This window comes from Homo sapiens, chromosome 4 (genome assembly GCF_000001405.40).
Source record: "Homo sapiens chromosome 4, GRCh38.p14 Primary Assembly".
In the NCBI taxonomy this organism is placed as follows: domain Eukaryota; kingdom Metazoa; phylum Chordata; class Mammalia; order Primates; family Hominidae; genus Homo; species Homo sapiens.
In genome coordinates, this window is record NC_000004.12 from 107,585,549 (window position 1) to 107,607,641 (window position 22,093).

Genomic DNA, 22,093 nt, shown 5'->3' on the forward strand with positions numbered 1-22,093 from the left:
TAAGAGCAAGTTTGGGTAGTGGGATTATAGCTGATTTCTTTCCTTCATGTTTTACCTAATTTCTCTACTTTGCTTTAATTAGTTCTTATTAATTTAAAATTTTAAGAAAATAGACTGCTGCTCAATTTGGGCAGGACTTTTATACAATCATGACTTACCAAAATGCATTTATATTTAAGTGTGCAATTTGTTGTAGTTTCAAAAGCCTCCTTTCTTTAAAGCTTCCTACAAACTTCACGAAGAATTATCATTTCTTGATCAGCTGAAGAAATAAAGGCACAGAGAGCTTAAGTAACTTGGCCTAAGTCACAGAGCCAGGAAGTGGAGGAGCCAGAATTCGAAACCATAGTTGCTGATTTTAAATTCTGAAATTCATTAAATTATGGATCACCTGAGGTCAGGAGTTCGAGACCAGCCTGGCAAACATGGCGAAATGCCATATCTACTAAAAATATAAAAATTAGTTGGGCGTGGTGGTGGGCACCTGTAGTCCCAGCTACTTGGAAAGCTGAGGCAAGAGAATCATTTGAACCTGGAAGGCAGAAGTTGCAGTGGATTTATTGATATAAAACATATGTAACTTAAAATTTACCATTTTAACCGTTAAGTGTACACTAGTGTCATTAAGCAATAGTCACCACTATCTATTTCCAGAACTTTTTCATCATCCCAAATAGAAACTCTAACTATTGTTGGAGGAAAAACTGGGTTCTTGTCACATGACCAGGAAATATTAGATTTGCAGACAATTTGAAGGGAGAGGGGGATGGAATTTATTGGGCAAAAAGGAAAAAGGAAAAACTACACAGCCAGGTGAGAGGGGTTCCTGTTAACAGGCCCTCATATCACAGACTGAATCCCAGGTTACCACATAGAAACAGGAGCGGAGGGACCAGGCTCCTCCCTGCTGTAAACAGCCTGAATTTCTCGAAGCCCTACCCCATCCTCCCAGTGTGCAGGCCAGTTGGGGATTCCCCAGGGAGGCCCTTTTACTTGGCTGTCTCATTCCCCACTCTAAAGAAGTACATCTAACTGCCCTTAGAATAAGGATAAGGATTAGGATAAGAACAAAGACTGATTTTAACTGTTTCCTGCTGACAGGGTGTGTGCTGTTTTCGAAAAATGGCAGTCAGAGCTCCTGCAGAGGCCTCTCTTAAGGGTCCCTGGCAAAAGGGGCCATTGTTCCAGGCTCCAGTTGCATGACCGTTTGGAGTTTGATGACCTCAAGGCAAGAACAGAAGACAAACCAGGCTATTAGAAAATATGTATCAAAATGAAACAAGGTGGGGGTAAGGACAGCTCAAAAATCTTGATGCCTTTTACCAGTTTGCACAGGAAGAGAGGGACGAAAAGCCGACTGGTTAAAAAAAAGAAAAAAAGAAAAACTTTATTCTTTTGCCAGCATGTCAGCCTTCTGGGTTCCCTTCCCCTGAGCCCAATCCTAAGCCGACCAGTTTAAGGTTTGGGAAATTGACTCTTCCCAGTTTGGAGGATGTATCCAATGGGAGTGTCCTGTAGTATAGAGACACAATTTCCTATCTGTGAAGAGGGGATAGAAAAGGAGAAAGGAAAATATAAGACTTTTTTTTCAAAGGAGTCCCAGGGGTTCAGGATGCATTCAAAAGGGATACAGATTGAAGATGAATGGCTACCCATCTAGAAAGAGGGGAGCAGGTATCACTGGTTCCCTTCTCTTCCTAGCAAATACTTGTGGTACGTGAAGGAAGAAAAGTGAGGCATTCCTTTTTCTTTCCTCCTTCCTTGAATACTTACATCCTGGCAACCCCAACAGGGTGCCACCCATGGATGTTAAAGTGGCTTTCACCCATGTTAATAAGGGGGTCTGGGGGGTGAGAGTATTCACTCTTACCCATGTATGCCTTATCTCCCCTGCTGTCAGTAGCCTTTGAATTCCCTAGACCTCATTTATGCCATGGATACTAGCACGGCCTTTATCCATGAAATGGAAAGCTTGGCTGAATCAGTAGAAATCAGCCACACTCACCTGCACTGGGTCTTTTAACTTCTGTTATTGCCTGCCTCTGGATCCCTCAGATCCAGTTTTCTTTCCTTGGGCTTTGACCCAAAGCTTGTAATTGAGTTTGGGACAAAAATGTATCTCAGGGGGCAGTGCATGAACTTCTTATCATAAGCTGAATGCTAAGGTGAAACTGTGGAATTTAGTGCCCCCCCAACAAGGGAGAGAAAAGGGTGTCTTTTGACATGCCCAGATAACTAGTGGCTATAATTTTGCTTGCTAAGGTTTGGGTGCATTGTGCTTAGCTTTGCTTAGTTCCCTTGGTCTTACTTTCCCAAAAAGGAAACCTCTAGGTGATGGGCATCCTATTTATTCCCATCACCTGGCAGGATTTGCAGGATAATTACTCAGAACTAGAATATCAACCCAGATTTCTACATTACCCATCCCTCTTGTTCCTTCTGAGCTGCAGTTGGAGATTGCTGGTTGGGTCACAGTAACAAGCAGGGTTAGTCTAAAATGTAGCCAAAAACTTAAAAACAGCTAAGTTTAGAATTTAATGACAAATGTATAAGTTTTGAAACATTTCTCTCTCTCCAGTCCTCATTTTTGTTAAAAAAAAATCATGATAGAACTGAGTTATCTGCAAAATAGACTTTAGTCTTATACTTGGCTTGATTATTTGCATAAAGTGCAGCAAGAATAATTATTTCTACATAGGTTTTTTAGATTGGCTTTGATGGAACTCTGTTCCACAAGGAATCTCAGATAGGATCTTTGAAAGCAGAGCCCAGCCATGGGTTTGTATCCTCAAATACCTGTGAGTTGGGTGATACTCCCCTCTTAAGGTCCCAAGATAAACTTGGAGCTCCTGGGCCTGTTAGAAAGTAACATTCTTTACTGACCACAGGTCAGGAACCCTGTACAAGAACTCTGTAGACAAGAGTATGAGGCCAGTTTTTTTTCTTAAGGGGCTTTTATCAGCTCTCCAAGTTGAGCTTGACTCCTTAAAGGGAAGCATATCCTTTCAGTCAAAGCCTTGGTAAAACAACCAGTTTCTCCAATTGTGTTCTGTTGCAAAAGAAAATTGATTTTATTGCACTGATGCAAACAACTATATCGCCACAGGTTGAGAGTATTCGCAGATAGTTTCCAAATTCTAGAGGAACCAGGTAGAGAGAAACCAACATGCTCCAAATTTTCTTCACAGGAGTATACCTTACTCAATTATGAAAGGCTATAAATAGTTCAAAATAAGTTTTCTTGACTCTGAAAAACAAAACAAGGATCAGCAATATTCCAAGCAAAAGTCAAAAGATTGTTTCAGTTTTCTGAGTTCAGTCAATTTAGTTCTTGTTTTGCTTGATATTCATAAATATTCAGCTCTTCATGAGTCCTGTACATTTTTCCTGTACTCAAATATCACAATTTACATAGTTATCAGAAACCTGTATTTAAACACACTTAGCTATAACTTATAGAACTTCAGAGTTCTATAGCTTATTATAAACAATATTTTGAAAAGGATTAAAACAAGACAATTGTCTATGAATAACAAAATGTCCAGGGTAGTTACAGTTAGAAACAAAATTAATAAAGAAGTTTAGTTATCTCTGTGGTTTACAAAAACTTAACATAACAACTTCAATTATGATTGATAGCATATACTCAGATATTAGAATTTTAGAAACCCCAGACAATTTTGGAACACATATTAGTATTATTCAACAAAATATAGCCTAAAGAAGACTGAACACCATTTTGGCAATCCCATGTAATGAAACATGTCAAATAATCTTGTTTATCTCTTTTCTGTGTACTCCAGGGGCCCTTCTGAAGCATCTGAAAAGTCAGGTGTCAGGAAAGACAATTTTGAAACTGAAGTTTGATTTTAAGAAGCCTGTTAAATATGTTAGAGGTTTAAAACATTTGATGTTATGAAACAGAATTCCAGATTACATAAATTATTTATTTTACCAAAATTATGACTCAGAAACTTTAAAAAAGCAAAAACCTTTTATAACCCTTTACAAATTTTGGTAAAGAGCAGTTGAGTGCCTTAAGAGTACCTTGTGTGCTTATTTTAATGCTCAATTTACAGAAAAACTATATAATACCCTTTGAATTTAGTCAGTATGTTCACACATGGAATTTTTGCAAGATTAACTTTTACAATCCTCCCATCACTTGTTTGAACTTTTAACTTCATCCTACTTAATTTAAAACAATTATTTAACCCTAGGCAAGAATTTACACTTTTAAGCCTTCTTATAACCTTTTATTAAAAACACATTTTACTGTTCTCACACACCTTGCATGTAAATCTATTTCCCGTAGTCTCAATTATATGTCATAATGGTAACTTTTAGCAATTTTTAACTTTAATGTAAAACCTGGTACGTTGTTTTGATTATATGCTACATGCAGCCAAGGCTTGACCCCTTCCAGCATAATTAAGGGTGTGGCTAGTTCCATATGTCCCCAGGCCTTACCTTCTTATTCTTATGTAAATATTCCTCCACCAGGGAGAAAAGCTTAATTGCTGGGGACAAAGCTGGACTCCCTGGCCAAGGACTGGGAGACTCCCTGGCCAAGGACTGGGAGACTCCATGGTGCATGGCAGGGAATGCCAGCCAGCCGTGTGGGGTGCCTTAAGGCCCTGGCAGCAGTTGTGGCTTATTGCTGCCCTGAGTAGCTGTTGAACACTGCACACACATGTGGCAGACATGGCCATGCACCCCAGGCAGCAGGGAAGGGGGAACAGGGAGCTGTCCCACCCAACCATCCCATGCATGCACCCACCTGTGGCTGCTGGGACGGGTGTGGACCACCTCCAGTATTGTAAAAGGAAAGATAGGTGCCATTACTCTCCTGAAAAAAAATAAGAGGAATGTCATAGGACCAAAAGGCTCAGAAGCAAAAGTAAAAGGTTTTGGGTCTCCATTTTACTCACCCTTCCTCAGGTCCCACATTCTGGGTACCAAAAACTATAAAGCAATAAATCCCCATTCTCCCCTTCCCCAAGACCCTGGAAACCAGCATTCTACTTTCTGTCTCTATGCATTTGCTTACTCTAGGTACCTCATATAAGTGAAACCATACAATATTTGTCTTTCTGTGATGGGCTTACTTCACTTACCGTACTGTTCACAAATTTCATACATATGGTGGCATGTATCCAAATTTCATTCCTTTTTAAGACAAATTAATATTCCACTGCATGTTTATACCAAACTTTATTCATTCATGTATCGGTGAGCGTTTGGGTATTTCTACTTTTAAGTTAAATTAAGTTTAGGCCTGAGGTTGCCTCTATACTTGAGTCCTTATGTGGCAAACTGCAACATTGGTAGACAGACTACTAATTGAAAGCTTAATTTAGGAGTACATAAACTCTTCTAACAACTGGCTGAGTTCTAGTCAATCACAGCAGCTGAGCTTCAGTCAATTGCAGGTGGCCCACTCATTCAAATAAGGCAAAACACTGAGCTGTAACCAACTAAGCTGACTGTGCATTACATCTGTTCTCCATCCATAAATGTTATCTGACCACTTTGGGGTCCCAGAGTTCTTAGAATCTATTCTGGTTCTGAGGGCTGCCCAATTCCAGAATTGTGAATCAAAGCTAATTAAGATATTTAAACTAAATTTATTGTAATTTTGTCTTTCGATACCACCTTTAGGCTACTGTGAATAATGCTGCTATGAACATTGGTGCAAAAGAATCTCTTTGAGTTCCTGCTTTCAATTTTTTCAGGTACATACTGAGAAATTGAATTTTGGTAATTCTAAGTTTAGCTTTTTGAGGAACCACTGTACTATTTTCTACAACTGCTGCTCCATGTTACATTCCCATGAGCTATGCACTAAGGTTTTAATTTCTCCACATCTTCACCAACACTTGTTATTTTGTTTTTTTTAAATAATAACCAACCTAATGAGTGTGATCATTTATTTTTATACATGTGCCAATTGTACTAATAGTCCTAATTATCTTTTAATAGAAAATTTAAAGGATGAGATAAAGATACAGTTTGAGTACACTTTATCCAAAATGCTCAAAATAGAAGTGTTTTGAATTTTAGATTTTTTTCAGATTTTGTAACATTTGCATACATATATGCAAATCTTGAGGATGAGACCCAAGCCTAAACACCAAATTCATTTATGTTTTATAGCAACCTTGTACACATAGCCTGAAGGTAATTTTATGCAATAGTTTAAATCATTTTGTGCATGAAACAAAGTTTTAACTGTTTTGACTGCAACACCTCACATGAGATCAGGTGTGGAATTTTCTACTTGTAGCATGATGTTTGCACTCAAAAAGTTTTGGATTTCAGGGCATTTCAGATTTTGTAGTTTTACATTAGGGATACTCAACCTATAAAATCCATATTTTTAAATAAATTCAATTTGTATGTATTGTTTCTCAAATATTATGTTTATCCTAAAAAATTAACATTAATATTAATGGTTTAGGTAAACACAAAGTAACATATAATACCTTGTTATATTCTAAAGCTTAGTTCAGCACTTTGTTATATCACTGAGTTTTAATGGCTATCATCTGAAAAAAGTTTATTATACATATATTTATATCCACATGGAAAAACTACGTTATTGGTTGTAAACCCTGAAGTTTATTTTTTTACTTGCATTCACCAATTTTCAATATTTTTGTTAAAATACATCTCGTAAATTTTTATCTCTATGATATCAGTCTGTTGTCTTATAAATAAATCAGAAAATATTGTATTTTCTTACTGTAGATTAAATATCCCTAATCTAAAAATCTACAAAGTTCAAAACTTTTTAAGCACTGGACATGATGTCATAAGTGGAAAATTCCACACCTGACTTAATGTGATGGGTCACAGTGGAAATGTAAGTGCACAGCACAGTTTACTCAGTGTCCCCAAGAAAAAAAGACCCTCTCAGCCCTCTTCAGCTGCAACATATTTTTTTCCATGCATGCCCACACTTCCCCATGCAAGCATGCCTGCAAAGGGTAATAAAATGCCACTTGTGCAGGGTGAATGCACCAATGGCAGATTCCCTGCAATGACCCACATGGACCAGGACCTATGTGCATTACTCACTGTTTTTTTGCTTATTCTTTGCTCTCTGATGTAAAGATACTGTTGGACATGTCAAAAAGGCCTGCAGATACCCTATGATCATGGTAACAAGTGAAAGAGGAAGCATTTATGTTTATCTATAGCACAGAAAGATACACTGTTGGAGAAACTGGACAGCGGTGTACAAGTGAAACAGGAAGCATTTATGTTTATCTATAGCACAGAAAGATAAACTGTTGGAGAAAGGGGACAGCGGTGTAACTGTAAAATGTCTTACAGAAGAGCACAGTGTTGGAATGTCCAGTATTTATGACGTGAAGCAACAGACAAATAAACTGCTGAAGTTCTATGCCTAAAGTGATGAACAAAAATTAATGAAAATAGAAAAACACTGTGCAAAGCTAAAAATGAAAATATTGATTATGTATTGAAAGAATGGATCCACCAGTATTGCATTAAACACATGCATATAATGATATGCTGATCATAAAACAAGCAAAGATCTATCACGATGAACTGAAGAGAATTGTGAATATTCAACAGGCTGGTTGTAGAAATTTAAGAAAAAATGTTGCATTAAATTTTTTAAATATTTGTAGTGATAAAGCATCTGCTGAACATGAAACAACAGAGAAATTCATTGACAAGTTTGCCAAGGTCATCACCAAGGAAAATTTGACACCAGAACAAGTCTATAATGCTGATGAAACATCACTGTTTTGGCCTTATTGAGCCAGAAAGTCACTGACTGCAGATGATGAGACAGCCCCTACAGGAATCAAGGAGGCCAAGGACAGAAGAATATTTGCATACACTACTCTGTGTATGCAAGATATCTTGGAGATGGGACCCAAGTCCCATCTGTGCTGGGCTGTGCTAATGCTGCAGGCATGCATAAGTAAACCTGATGTGATAGGGAAAAGCTGTGTCCTTTCTGTTTCCAAGGAATGAATTTCTTACCAGTCCATTATTATGCTGACAAAAAGGCATAGATCACCAGGGTCATCTTTTCCGTTTGCTTTCACAAACATTTTGCACCAGCATCTTATGCTCAGAGCAGGGAAGCTAGACTGGGTGATGACTGCAAGATTTTGTTATTCCTTGACAACTGTTCTGCTCATCCTCCAGCTGAAGTTCTCATCAAAAATGCTTATGCCCTGTACTTTCCCCCAAAATGTGACTTCATTAATTGTGACCAGGGTATCCTTAGATCAATGAACAGTAAATATAAAAACACTCTACTGAACAGCATGCTACAGCAGTGAAAAGAGGCATGGATGTGGAAGATTTCAAAAGGAGTTTAGCATGATGGCTGCTGGATATGTTGTTACCAACCCTTGGAACACAGTGATTAATACATAGCTGTGCATGCCTGGCACAACCTCTGGTCTGTGACTCTGTTCAGTGAGGATGATAAAAAAGTTGGTGACTTTGAAGGATTCTATATATCAAGTGAGAAAAAATGATGTCTGACCTCCTTACATATTCAAAAAGATATACCTTCAGTGTTCATCAGTAAGCTAGAAGAAGTGGATATTGAAGAAGTTTTTAACATTGATAGAGTCTCCAGTTGTTCATTCATTGATCAATGGTAAAATAGCTGAAATGGTTCTGAATCAGGATGATCAGGATAAAAGTGACAATGAAGATGAAGTTGTTAACACTGAAGAAAAAGTGCCTGTGGACAATGCGGTGAAAATGTGATGGGGTTATTGAAAGACTAGAGCAGTGTGCATTAATAACAGAACAAGAGTCATGTCTATTTATAAAATCAAAGAGAGACTTTGAAGACAAATATCATTGTTAATGAATCAGAAGACTCTGGAGGAAACATTTTAAAAAGCCATCCATCAGGCCAGGAGTGGTGGCTCACAACTGTAATCCCAGCATTTTGGGAGGCCAAGGCAATTGGATCACCTGAGGCCAGGAGTTCGAGACCAGCCTGGACAACATGGTGAAACCCTGTCTCTACTGAAAATGCAAAAATTAGCCGGGTGTAGTGTCAGGTGCCTGTAGTTTCGGCTACTCGGGAGGCTGAGATAGGAGAATATCTTGAACCCAGGAGGCAGAGGTTGCAGTGAGCCGAGATCACACCATTGAACTCCAGCCTGGCGACAGAATAAGACTCTGTCTCAAAAAGAAGAAAAGCCATCCAGAAGAATGGCTCCTTATCCCTAGACAACCTACCACTTCCTGGTCTCTTAACTGCTTCTGATAAAAAAATAAAATACAGTTTGCACTAAGCTTTTAGTCAAAACACAACATCATCGGTGGAGACCGAAAGCCTGCTGCTGTTGGTGGTTGCTGATGTTTAACAGTTGATACAGGTTTTCTGGTGATGCTACTGTGCTGCTTAGTTACCCTGAACACATTATTTTTTCACTGCACTCATGGTATCTCATACTTTTTACTGTTAAGTACTTGCGTGTGAACAAGCATAAGAAAATGATTGCTTTTTAGTAGCACATAAATTCAGAGTCAGGAATGATGGTGATGCCAAACAGCATAGACTATTTACATGGGTGGCTGAGATTGTGACACTTTTGCTTTCTGATAGTACAATGTATACAAACTTGGTTTATGCACAAAAGTATGTAAAATATTGGATAAAATTACCTTCAGGCTATGTGTGCAGATGTATATAATCATAAATGAATTTCGTGTTTAGACTTGGATCCCATCTCCAAGATATCTCATTAAGTGTATGCATGTATTCCAAAATCCAAAATCCAGAACACTTCTATTCCCATGCATTTCAAATAAGGGATACTAAACTTGTATTATCAAACAGTTTGAAAACCCACTGTAACTCTTTATTTGAAATATGTTTTTAAATAGACAAAAAATTTACTTGTCAATTTTTTAAGTTTAGATATAAGAAAATTTGTATGGGACACATACACATTGTTTGGCAGTAAAATCATGGAACAATGGAAACATTTCCAAACATCCAATTTTAAAATGCTTTGTTCATAGCAGGAGTTTCTTTTGAAAAGCAATTACTTTTACATTCATTGTTAAAACATTACTTTAAACTTAGGGGATGAATTAAGTGTGTTTATATTTTCAAAAAAGGTCTGGTGGGTAGCATACTATTGACAGACACTTGTCATCACAGAAAAGAACAGAAAATCTGGAACACTTGTCTTTTCATTTTAAAAAGATGCAAATTATACATCTCTAAGTTAATTATTCAGTACTTTGCCATGATAAATGCAGAGAAAATTTTATGGTAATAAAGATTTTCACAATCTCTTCCCATCTCATTGCAACATCTACTCTTTTATTTAATTTTTGTAAAACTAAGTGCACCCACACAGTCTGTATCAGAAAGAGGGCAATACATCAGGATAGGATGTTGTAAATGAATGAGTGGAGTGGGGCACTGTCAAGCCCACTGCTTGGTGTGATTCCCAGTTGTAATAAAGCAAATGACCATAAAATATCTCCTTCCTTCTATCCTTTGCAATGTGACTTTGCAGCTCCTTTCGAAGAGAGAAATTACTTCCACTTCCCTTGAATCTGGGGTAGTCTTGTGCCTTGCTTTGGCCAACAGAGCATGGCAGAAGCACCACAGTGCCCGTTTCAAACCTGGCCCACTAGACTCTTTGCCTGCTTCTGCTCTTGCTTGTGGAACTCTGCCACCAGGTGATCAAGCATGGGCTTCTTACAAATACGAATCCCCAGGGCACTTCTCCAGAGATTCTGATTCATTGGGTCCAGGGATTTATACTTTTATCAAGCATCAGAAGTAATTCTGATTCAGGAGGTCTTCAGATAACACCTCAGAAAACACTGCAAATCTGGATTACGAAGTGGCCTCAACTCCAAGCATATTATCAGAATCAGAAAATACATATGAACTAGGGTCCACTCAGAGCAGCCTACACTCAGCGGTAAGGTTGCATCAGTGTATGCTCCTGGTGCATGTAGGGAGTATCCCACATTGTGACAATATTGATACAGCAATTAGAAGGAGGACCTCCAGAGAAGAGCAAAAGAAGTGCCCCTGGAGGTTTTCCTGTAGGTCAACTTTGCAGGATTCCTGAGCTTGACTTCAGCTCTGATTTTGTCTTTTACTAACTTCATGATCTTGTATAATTCCCCTAATCTCTCCAAGCTTTAGCCTTCCTATCTATGAAGTGGGAATTCTAACTGTGTCATAAGTTTATTGCAAGAAGAAAATGAGGTAAGTTGTAGAAAGCACTTAATACAGAACCTGGCATACAGAAGATGTTCAATTATTTATTATTCTTGTTTCATTATGATATTGTTATCCTTAGAAACCTACTCCTCTTAGGATGTGGAGAAATAGGAATGCTTTTACACTGTTGGTGGGAGTGTAAATTAGTTCAACCATTATGGCAGACAGTGTGGCGATTCCTCAAGGATCTAGAAGTAGAATTACCATTTGACCTGGCAATCCCATTACTGGGTATATATACCCAAAGGATTATAAATCATGCTACTATAAAGACACATGCACACGTATGTTTATTGCGGCACTATTCACAATAGCAAAGACTTGGAACCAACCCAAATGTTCATCAATGATAGACTGGATTAAGAAAATGTGGCACATATACACAATGGAATACTATGCAGCCAAAAAAAGGATGAGCTCATGTCCTTTGCAGGGACATGGATGAAGCTGGAAACCATCATTCTCAGCAAACTATCACAAGAACAGAAAACCAAACACCACATGTTCTTACTCATAGGTGGGAAATTAACAATGATATCACTTGGACACAGGGCGGGGAACATCACACACTGGGGCCTGTCAGGGGGTGGGGGGCTGGGAGAGGGATAGCATTAGGAGAAATACCTAATGTAAATGATGAGTTGATGGGTGCAGCAAACCAACATGGCACATGTATACCTATGTATCAAACCTGCATGTTGTGCACATGTACCCTAGAACTTAAAAGTATATTTAAAAAAAGTTGAGGTTTTCCCATTAATTTCCCATTAATTAAAAAAAGCCTACTCATCTCAAAGGGCTAATTTGCATTTCTGGACATCTCCAAATCCCTCAGTGGAAGCCTGTCTCACATATAGTCAAACTCTGGAATCAGCCATATCTTGGTTCCCGTCCTCAACTCCACCACATGTGACTTCAAGCAAGTCACTTATAAATCTCAGTGTTTTCATCTGTAAAACAGGGACAACAACATTACCTTCCACCATAGGGTTGTGAATATTAGAAGAGTTAATGTTCAATACCTCACACACTGCAACCCACAGCAAATATTAGCAATTAGCATTATTTCCTCAGGGCTATTCTTCATAAATTCTGAAATCCAAATCAAGAAAATGCATTTGCAGGTTTACAAGAAGCAACCCAGAAATTCAATGGTAAGGTCGCATCACTGTATGTCCTAGTGCAGGTAGGGAGAATCCCTCAGTGTGACAAGACTGGTGGAACAATTAGAAAGAGGACCTCCAGAGAAGGAGAAAAGAAGAGTCCTTGGAGTTTTCCTGAGGCACAGACCCTAAAAACAGACCTATCTGGTGTTTGGAGCTGCAGCGAGAAGAATAAATTTGCTTTTGTGGGACTCATATTGCCAAAAGCTCATCTGTGAGTGAATAATGAAGTTGAGACATACGTGGTCACCAAAAACAAACAAACAAACAAACAAACAAAACAGGTCAGGGCTTTGAGGCTCAGGAAGTAATTTAGGAAGATAATAATAAAGGTATCCTCCCATCTCTATTACCTCTCTTACTACCTAAACCAGACCCTCCTGACCCTCGGCCTGCAAAAGTGCAGGACTTTCAACTGGTTCCTCTGCATCTTGCTCTTCTGTTCCTCCCCTCCACTCAGCACACCAAAGCCCAAATTATTTACTGAAAACACCACTTGCCTCACACCACACTCCTGGGTAAAAACCTACAGAGGGCCGGGTGCAGTGGTTCGTGCCTGTAATCCCTGCACTTTGGGAGGCTGAGGAAGGTGGATCACTTGAGGTCAGGGGTTCGATACTAGCCTGGTCAACATGGTGAAACCCTGTCTCTACTAAAAATACATAAATTAGCTGGGTGTGGTGGCAGGCACCTGTAATCCCAGCTACTTGGGAGGCTGAGGCAGGAGGATCACTTGAACCTGAGAGGCAGATGTTGCAGTAAACTGAGATCACGCCATTGCACTCCAGCCTGGGCAACAATAGCGAAACTCCGTCTAAAAAAATAAAACAAAAAACAAAACAAAACAAAAAAACCCTACAGAGGCCACTCCTATTGGGTCTGATGTAAATATTTCATTCTCACACAGTAGGCTTCACCCTGCTGCTGTGTCCATGAATTTCTTCTCATTACGGTCATCAATACAAGTAGTCCCCCTTTATCCAAGAGAGATACATTCCAACACCCCCACAGTGGATTCCTAAAACCTCAGATAGTACCAAACCCTATATATACTACGGTTTTTTTCCCTACACATACATACCTATGATAAGGTTTAATTAAGATTAAGTTAATCTGACACATCACAATGCTGTCAATCAGAACACATGTCTGTTTACGTTTTCCATCCACAAATGTAAGGCCTTTTCCATTTTAACTAAGCACTTATCGCTTGCTGTTTGAGGTGCCACAGCAAAACTAGCACTACACTACCATGACAGTAGATCTGATAACTGAGAGGACTGCAAAGTGACTAACAGGCAGGTAGCATATGCAGGGTCAACGCACTGGCCAAAGGGATGATCCATGTCCCAGGCAGGATGGAGCAGGATGGAGTGAGATTTCATCCCAATACTTGGAACAGTGTGCAATTTAAAACAGATGAATTATTCATTTCTGGAATTTTCTGTTTAATATTTTCAGACCATGGGTAACTGAAAATGTGGAAAACAAAACTGTGGATAAGGAAGGATTACTGTAGCCTTCCAACTGCCAGAAGCAAGGGGAGGGTGATACTCTCCTGAACATTCTTGTAGCCCAAGTTAGAAGACAAATGTAGCAAAATTCCCCCAGACCTTCACATTTTAGCTCTGGTTTAATTGCATTCTAGCCAACGTTAAACAAGATTCTTTAGGTTGTTTTAATTTTGCATTCAGAATAAATCTGCTATGGCTGAATATTTTCCCATGTTGGCTTTTTCACCGGTTGTATTTTATTCTCTTTTTAAATTTTTTTCTTTTATGATTTACAAATATTTCCCATATTCTTATTTTTTATAATAAGATTTTCTCTAACCTTTTAAAATCTATTTCATTTTTAAATATGTTCTCAGAACCATTAGTCTTGGTTCTCTTAAAGGGTCACTTGCTTGGATAGAGCTAAGATTCTGACTTCCAACCTCCCATAGTCATGCCTGTGGGTCACTTCAATATTGGAATCTTCCACAAATGATTTTTGGCAACCAAAGAGGGAATGAGCTGTGTCTAGTGGCAAGGGGATGCCAGCCCCGTGAAGTGTGGCAGGGTTGCCTTGCATTCCTCAGAGCTTGAAGCAAAGTTGAGAAAAAAAAAATGCTAACATTTAAAAGCTTGCCCCAAGGCCTCTGATAAGGAGCATGTTTCTGAGACTGAAGTGTTCCTGTCTTTCATATTTTATAACCTTGCCGTTGCAGCAGGAGAGCCATGGAGAAAGAGAGATGGAATCACGGAGAATGGGAGATTGGCTTTGCCCTGAAGAGAAAATGCCCGCAGTGTGACTTGTTTTCCCATGTTTGCCAGTTCAGCTGAGAGTACAAAAGGAAGCCTACAACACATCGGACTACCTGGGCTTTCCTCCTAGTGTCAGAGGGGCTTGTAAGATAGGATCACCTTTGGGGGAATCTGGAGCTGTCTATAGGAACCTCATGATGTCTGCTAACTTAAAGTCGTGTTTAATTGATTATGAGGCTTTCAGCTAAGGAGCCTGAGCTCTCTGGAAAGTGTTCTGTCAATTCCTGCAAAAGCCTTGCATCAAGCAAACTATAAATCCCTAGCGGTAACATGGAAGCCAAAATAACATTAAAAATGTTCTTATTGCTATTGTTAGTGGTGGCCTTATTCTGTTCTAAGATTACATGGGCTCTTAGGAACTTCAGGAATTCCTGAGAATTATTTGTGGGAAAGCAAACATTTTTAAGCCTCACTAACAAAGGAGAAACAATTTATCAGAGCCCTAGTTCAGGAGGGGACCATCTTTGTTCTACCCCAGCTTTAGCTGAAAAAATCATGTTTACTCTCAACTTAAATATTCTCAAAATGTCCAAGGGACCAGGGCTTTACTCTTTGATTCTAAATCATAACTTCTCCATAAAATCCTCACTTCCGGAGCTGATAGTCAAGTCCAAATCTTATTAAAGTCTTCATTCGGAATGCATATCCAAATCTCAACATACGATAACTTTTTAAAAATTCATCTCAGATTTTATGCCACCAAATATTAAATTTCAGGGTGCATAAGAATGACACAAAGCACATATTTAAAATGCATATTCCTGGCTTCAATTCAGAAATACCAACCCAGGTGGTGAATTTAATACAAATGGGCCAAGGCCATAATTTGAAAAACATGTCTTTAGACTTTTCTCAGTTAAATACAACCAAACAGAAATTGCTAAATGACATCCATCATGTCTTGTTATACAGCTTGCTGAGGAAGCATTCTTGAGTCTGCCTACCAGACAGAAAAAAAAAAAAAAAAAGGAATTATTTTATGGTTAGCAGTGTCCACTCTCTTTTATAAGGAAAAAAAAAGCCTCCTCCCAGACAAAATTCTATTTAGGTATCCTGGTCCAAACTTGTCCCATGGCCTCTCATAGCCACCACAGAGCCTGGGAAAGCTGGGAACAAGGCTGTCATGATCAGTCCAAGTGATCATGACCCAACACCAGGGTTTAGTATGTTGCCAACCTCAACAGAATCAGGATCCTGTCTATAAAGAAGGTGAAATAAACACTAGGTAACTCCTAGTGTCTACCTGAAAAGGGAAGAAAGCAAATAAATGTTGAACACCTACTATTATACATGGAAAATTCTGGAACAGGTACTTTCACTTTTTAAAAAAAATCTCATTTAACGTAACATTATAGATATTATATATATAGTGCCTATAAACAGAGCCCTTTGCTTTTGTCATATCTTCTCTGATGATTTTCTAAAAAGATTGCCTTTAAAAGTTTCTATTTAATGTAATTTTAATCACTTAAAACTGAGTTTTCAAGTGTGTCTCTAAGCTGTATTATACTTTAGTTTTCTGTGTTGAGGTTCTTTGTTCTCTTTTGGTTGTTTCAGGCAGCAAGAGAAAATTTTTAGGCAAACTTTGGGCATAATATTTTTAATCCATTTGAGATATGAATAAAAGGAACCAAATCCCTTCCCTATTTTCCCAAAGACAAAAATATTTTTAAAACCCTAAGACCTCAAATATAGCTATTATGTAGTATATGGTGATTTCCCTGAGAGATTGGGACATTAAAATTTTTCTTTTGTTCTCAATTTTTAAAAGGAAACTAAATGCAAAAAAAATACTAATACAATGCACAAGACACCAATTAAAACATGGAAGTCAGGAAGCACAAAGTTGAATGTTCTCATAGGAACCTCAGATCATGTACCCTGTTTCTATGCATGATCTGGGTGTTCCTGCTGATAAACCTGACATTCTGTTTGTTTGTTTATTTGTTTTATTTTGTTTTTTAAGATGGAGTTTTGCTCTTGTTACCCAGGCTGGAGTGCAGTGGCATGATCTCGGCTCACTGCAACCTCTGCCTCCTGGGTGCGAGCAATTCTCCTAACCTCAGCTGCCCAAGTAGTTGGGATTACAGGCGCCCACCATCATGCCCGGCTAATTTTTTGTATTTTTAGTAGCGATGGAGTTTTATCATGTTGGCCAGGCTGGTCTCGAACCCCTGACCTCAGGTGATCCACTCATCTCGGCCTCCCAAAGTGCAGGGATTACAGGTGTGAGTCACTGTGCCCTGCCTAACCTGACATTCTAGTCATGAACCCTTGTAAATCTGTAACTGCCCGGACAGTCATCATATGTTTAGAAGTGAAAAAAACTACTAGAATAATTGCTTATTAAATTTCATATTTAGTTTTATTCTCTGCATTGTATCTATAAACAATATAATTATCTGTATTTTTATTCTCTGCACTGTATCTTAAAACAATATATTTATCTGTATTTACAGGTCTTTAGTTTCCATTATCAGAATTGGGTTGATGGATCGACACAGTGCTAAAAAACTCTGATCTAGGCCAGGTGCAGTGGCTCACGCCTGTAATGCCAGCACTTTGGGAGGCCGAGGTGGGTGGATCAGGAGATCAGGAGTTCAAGACCAGCCTGGCCAACATGGTGAAACCCTGTCTCTACTAAAAGTACAAAAATTAGCTGGGCGTGGTGGCACATGTCTGTAATCACAGCTACTTGGGAAGTTGGGGCAGGAGAATCGCTTGAACCCGGGAGGTGAAGGTTGCAGTGAGCCAAGATCGCACCACCACACTCCAGCCTGGGTGACAGAGCAAGACTCTATCTCAAATAAATAAATAAATATAAAAACTCTATTCAGTAAACAGATCAGTCCACAAGGCCCCAAACTGAGTCAGACTGAATGTCTGACACTTAACTGAATTGTTTAGACATTTTATAGTTGTAGACATCCAATCTCACTCCTAGAATAGGAGGCAACTGAACAAGCACCAAGCAGATTTCTTTGACTTTGAGGGGTTAAATCTGCTGGAGAGTTTTGGTCTCTTCCCTTTGTCATCTCCCCCTACCCTGCTTCTTCCCTCCAAGTCAGAGAAGGGAATAGAAAGGCACGATATACAAACTAAACATTATATGTAATGCTACGTTCCCCAAACCTGTCCCCTTTTATTAGGTGGAAACTCTGATATGCGGACCCCGTGATGTAGAATTAATTCTTGGTTTGGAGCAGGGGTTGGCGAGCTTTTTCCTTAAAGGGTTAAATAGTAAATATTTTCAGCTTTTCAGGCTGTAAGATCTGTCTTGAACTCCTCACCTCTTCTGTTGGATCACAAAAGAAACCACAGATAATACATAAACAAATGGGCATAGCTATGTTGCAGTAAAACTTTATTTACAGAACCAGGCAGTGAGCCAGGTCATTTGCCGACTGCTGGTCTACAGAATTCTAGCTAGTTTGTTTTTCCTCATTGTATTAAGGATACATTCTATTTTATAGTTCAGTAATTCAACCCTATTTTTAAAAAATATACACTGTTGCCTGATTCCAGTTTATTTCTTGACACTACTATTCTAATTAATCTATCAGGCATTCTTCTAATTGGAAAGCTTCTAGCTCCAATTTCAGATTCCTTTAATTTTCTTTACCTTTATCACAACCCAAATTTCCCCAGCCTTCATCTGCTGATGAGTACAATCACAGCTGAGTTAGAACACATTAGCCTTAATACTTGTTTTAATTAGTGTAAGGTATCAGAATATGGCATCCCAAAATATGTCACTTTGGCATAAAAATTATTTTGAGTTGGAGGCATATGAGAATCAACAGATATATAAAGAAGTATTCCTGGAGCTTTCCACATCCAACTAAACGCAGACAATTCTGAGAAGGGAGAACTGCCATGAATGTCCTCTCCTTGATGGCCATGAAGGAGATGGAAAGTCTGCACCAAAGTGGACCTGAACAAACAAACCTTACTCCATTCATTTCTCCCACATATTCACCCTCTCTCTATTTGCCACTTGTCTTAGTCCATTTTGTGCTGCTGTAACAGAATACCTGAGGGTAGGTAATTTATAAAGAACAGAGATCTGTTTCTTATGGTTCTAGAGGCTAGAAAGTCCAAGATTGAAAGGCTGACACCTGGAGAGGGTCTTCTTGTGGCATTATCCCATGGCAGAAGGTAGAAGTGCAAGTGGGCACTCTCGTGAGAAAGAGAAGGGGGCTGAACTCAATCTTTTATCAGGTACCTACTTCAAAGATAATAACCCACTCCTGCATTAACAGCATTAATCCATTTCTGAGAGCAGAGCCCTCATGTCCTAATCACCTATTAAGATGCTACCTCTAAACACTGTTGCCTTGGGGATTAAGTTTCCAACACATGAACTTTGGGAGGCGAATTCAAACCACAGCACCACCTTTGAAAGCCTGAAACCCTTTTTCTTTGTTTTGTTTCTTTACCAATGTTTTTTTGTTCGTTTGTTTGTTTTCATTAAAATGCTATTGGCCAGGCGCAGTGGCTCACACCTGTAATCCCAGCACTTTGGGAGGCTGAGGTGGATGGATCACCTGAGGTCAGGAGTTTGAGACCAGCCTGGCCAACATGGTGAAACCCAGTCTCTACTAAAAATAAAAAAATTAGCTGGGTAGCATGCGCCTGTAGTCCCAGCTACTGGGGAGGCTGAGGCAGGAAAACCACTTGAACCTGGGAGGTGGAGGTTACAGTGAGCTGAGATTGGTCCCGTCTCAAAAATAAATAAATACAAATAAAACAAAATATGCTATCTAAGCCAAATTCTAGCCTTTCTTTCATTTCAACTACTCATCAAGAGGTTTCTGCCTTGCTGTGCACTGCATCCATTAATAAACTGTTTTTCTCTTGTTAACCTTTTTTTAGTCTAATTTACAGGGCCCTAGCCAGAGAACATTAGTAGATGGAGCATATTTTTTGTCCCCTACAAAAGCTATTGCTGTATAACAAAACAACCCAAAACTCAGTGTCTTAAGACAACTACTTAATATCTTTTGTGAGTCATTGGGTCTGACGGTTAAGTCTCTCCTCACTTTTTCATCATAACTTTCTCATCAGTTCTTGGTATTTATTATTCCAAATGAACTAATAAAACTATTTTCTCTAATTCCCAAAATAAATCATTGAGGTTTTAATTGCAATTTCCCCAAACATTTATTTATTTTAGAAAGATTGATGTTTTTATATTGTCTTTTCACCTAAAACCATGGTATACCCTTCCATTTTTTCAGACCTTGTTTTCTGTCTTTTCCTAAAATTTTACAGTTGTATTCAAGCAGGCCCTGGTTTTTTTTCTTAAGTTTGTTCATATGCATTTTACAAGTTTTATGGCCATCACTGGGGCATTTTCATTTGTAGTCAATTATTATTAATAGAGAATTTTGATTTTTGCACATTTATCTTATGCCTAACCTCTTTACTAAAGTCAAATTAAAGTTTTAAATTTCCCTTTCTACAAAATTATATTGTACTTTTCATTTTTCTTTCAATTCTCAATTTAGAACTCTTGTTTTTTCCTACTCCTTTCTTACTATTTCTTACTATGTGCCCAGTGTTGTTACAAGCATTAAATAAAACAGTATATGCAAAGCACTTTGCACAATGGCTGGCAAAAAGAGCAGTAAGCACTCAGTAAATGTTAACCATTATTAAGAATTTGCTGTTTATTCAAGATGAATTTAAACTTTATGCTATACTTTGGTCATCATCCTAGTCATAGCCATGAGATCTTTTGTCTACATGAAGCGGGAAAAAAATATATGTGTGGAAAACTCTGGGAAACAGTATACAATTTTGTATTTCATATTCCCATATTCCCAATACCTGTTAATATCCAGACTATACAAATAATGAGCTAACACATGAAGCACCATTTATAGTTAGTTCAATTCTAAAGATTAAATGTATGTAAGATTTTATGCTTTGATGAGAAGTATCAAATTGAATTTTTATATGAAAATTGTAATGCTTATAAAATGCAGCTTTAATATAACCAATGAACACAATTAAAGCAGACCTTCTTAATTAAATATAATGTTGAGAATAATCTATGTTTCTAATTCTGATATTCCACTACCTGTATTGAAAGACACTTGATTCTGCTTTTCCAAAGTGCTATCATTTTTTTCAATTTTTTTCTATTACACTTGAATTTGTCTATGCTTGTTTTAGACAAATGTTTCCATTTTTCTGCTTTTTCCCCCTGTAAAAATATACTTTTAAAAAAAAAACTAAGAAACACTAGAGAAGTTGGACACAAGGAAAAAGAAGTGCAGCTGAACCAAGAATACTGTGTTTTGACTGCCTTTGGATTTGTATCTACCATGTATCTCTACAGTCACATGCAGCATAAGGATGTTTCAGTAAACAACAGACTATATTCCTAGACCGACTACATACCTACAGAGGGTAGTCCCATAAGACTGTAATGCTGTATTTTTACTGTACCATTTCTATGTTTACATACACAAATACTTACCATTGTACTACAACTGCCTATAGTATTCAGTACAGTAACATGCTGTTCAGTTTTGTAGCCTAGGAGCAACAGGCTATACCATATAGCCTAGGTGTGTAGTAGGCTGTACCATCTAGGATTAAGTCAACTCTATGATGTTTGCACAATGACAAAATCACCTAAGGACACATTTCTCAGAATGTATCCCTGTCATTATATTTAGTCACTTGGCTCAGTGAGCTAGAGAGTGGTACCATGAAGCAAAGATTCCAAGGTCTAGTCTTGTCAATTTTGATATCACTGTATTTCTTGGCCCAAAGACTGTATTTTAAAAGTAAGTAATTATTAATAAAAGCAGCAGTTCTTTAATGCAGCATTTAATTCCTGACTATAACTTTTGCTTCACAAACAAGGAAACTGAGGCCTAATAAAGCTGAAAGTCAAAAACCAAGGAGGAATTAGTGGTTTGACTTCAGAATCTGAATTCTTAATCACAAAACTATATTCTCTTAAACTTTTGTCTTCTGTTTCGCCAAAACATTTTCTCCTAAGTAACTAAACTTTTAACTGATTTCTTACTCAAAATTCTTTAATGCTATGAGTAGCCCATTAGAAATTGCTTACAACATATCAAAAGTAAAATTCCTATATATGTGCCTGTATGGAACATATACATGTGGCCCTGGATCACACAAAATAGCACTGGCCATATGCTCAGATTGAAAAATCACTTAAAGCAGGCTTCAGGGCAGCCAGATGCTGATTCCAGAAATGTATCAGACATAGCTCAGTCTTCCCTTTGAATTACTCTAACTTGGCTATTTTTTCTTGGAGAAGTGATTATGCAGCAAGGTCCCAGTAAGTTTGCTTTTAACATACAATTACTTTCCTCTTG

General features: G+C 38.2%; 1 long non-coding RNA gene across 1 annotated transcript in view; it reads right to left on the minus strand.

Annotated features, from left to right (window-relative positions):
- The window catches only part of LOC105377358 (uncharacterized), a 46,845-nt gene extending 41,996 nt beyond the window's left edge, over window positions 1-4,849 (minus strand). The window contains exon 1 of the long non-coding RNA XR_939059.3: window positions 4,781-4,849. This is a non-coding gene — a long non-coding RNA (uncharacterized LOC105377358). The remainder of the gene's footprint in view (window positions 1-4,780) is intronic.
- Between the last annotated feature and the right edge of the window lie 17,244 nt (window positions 4,850-22,093).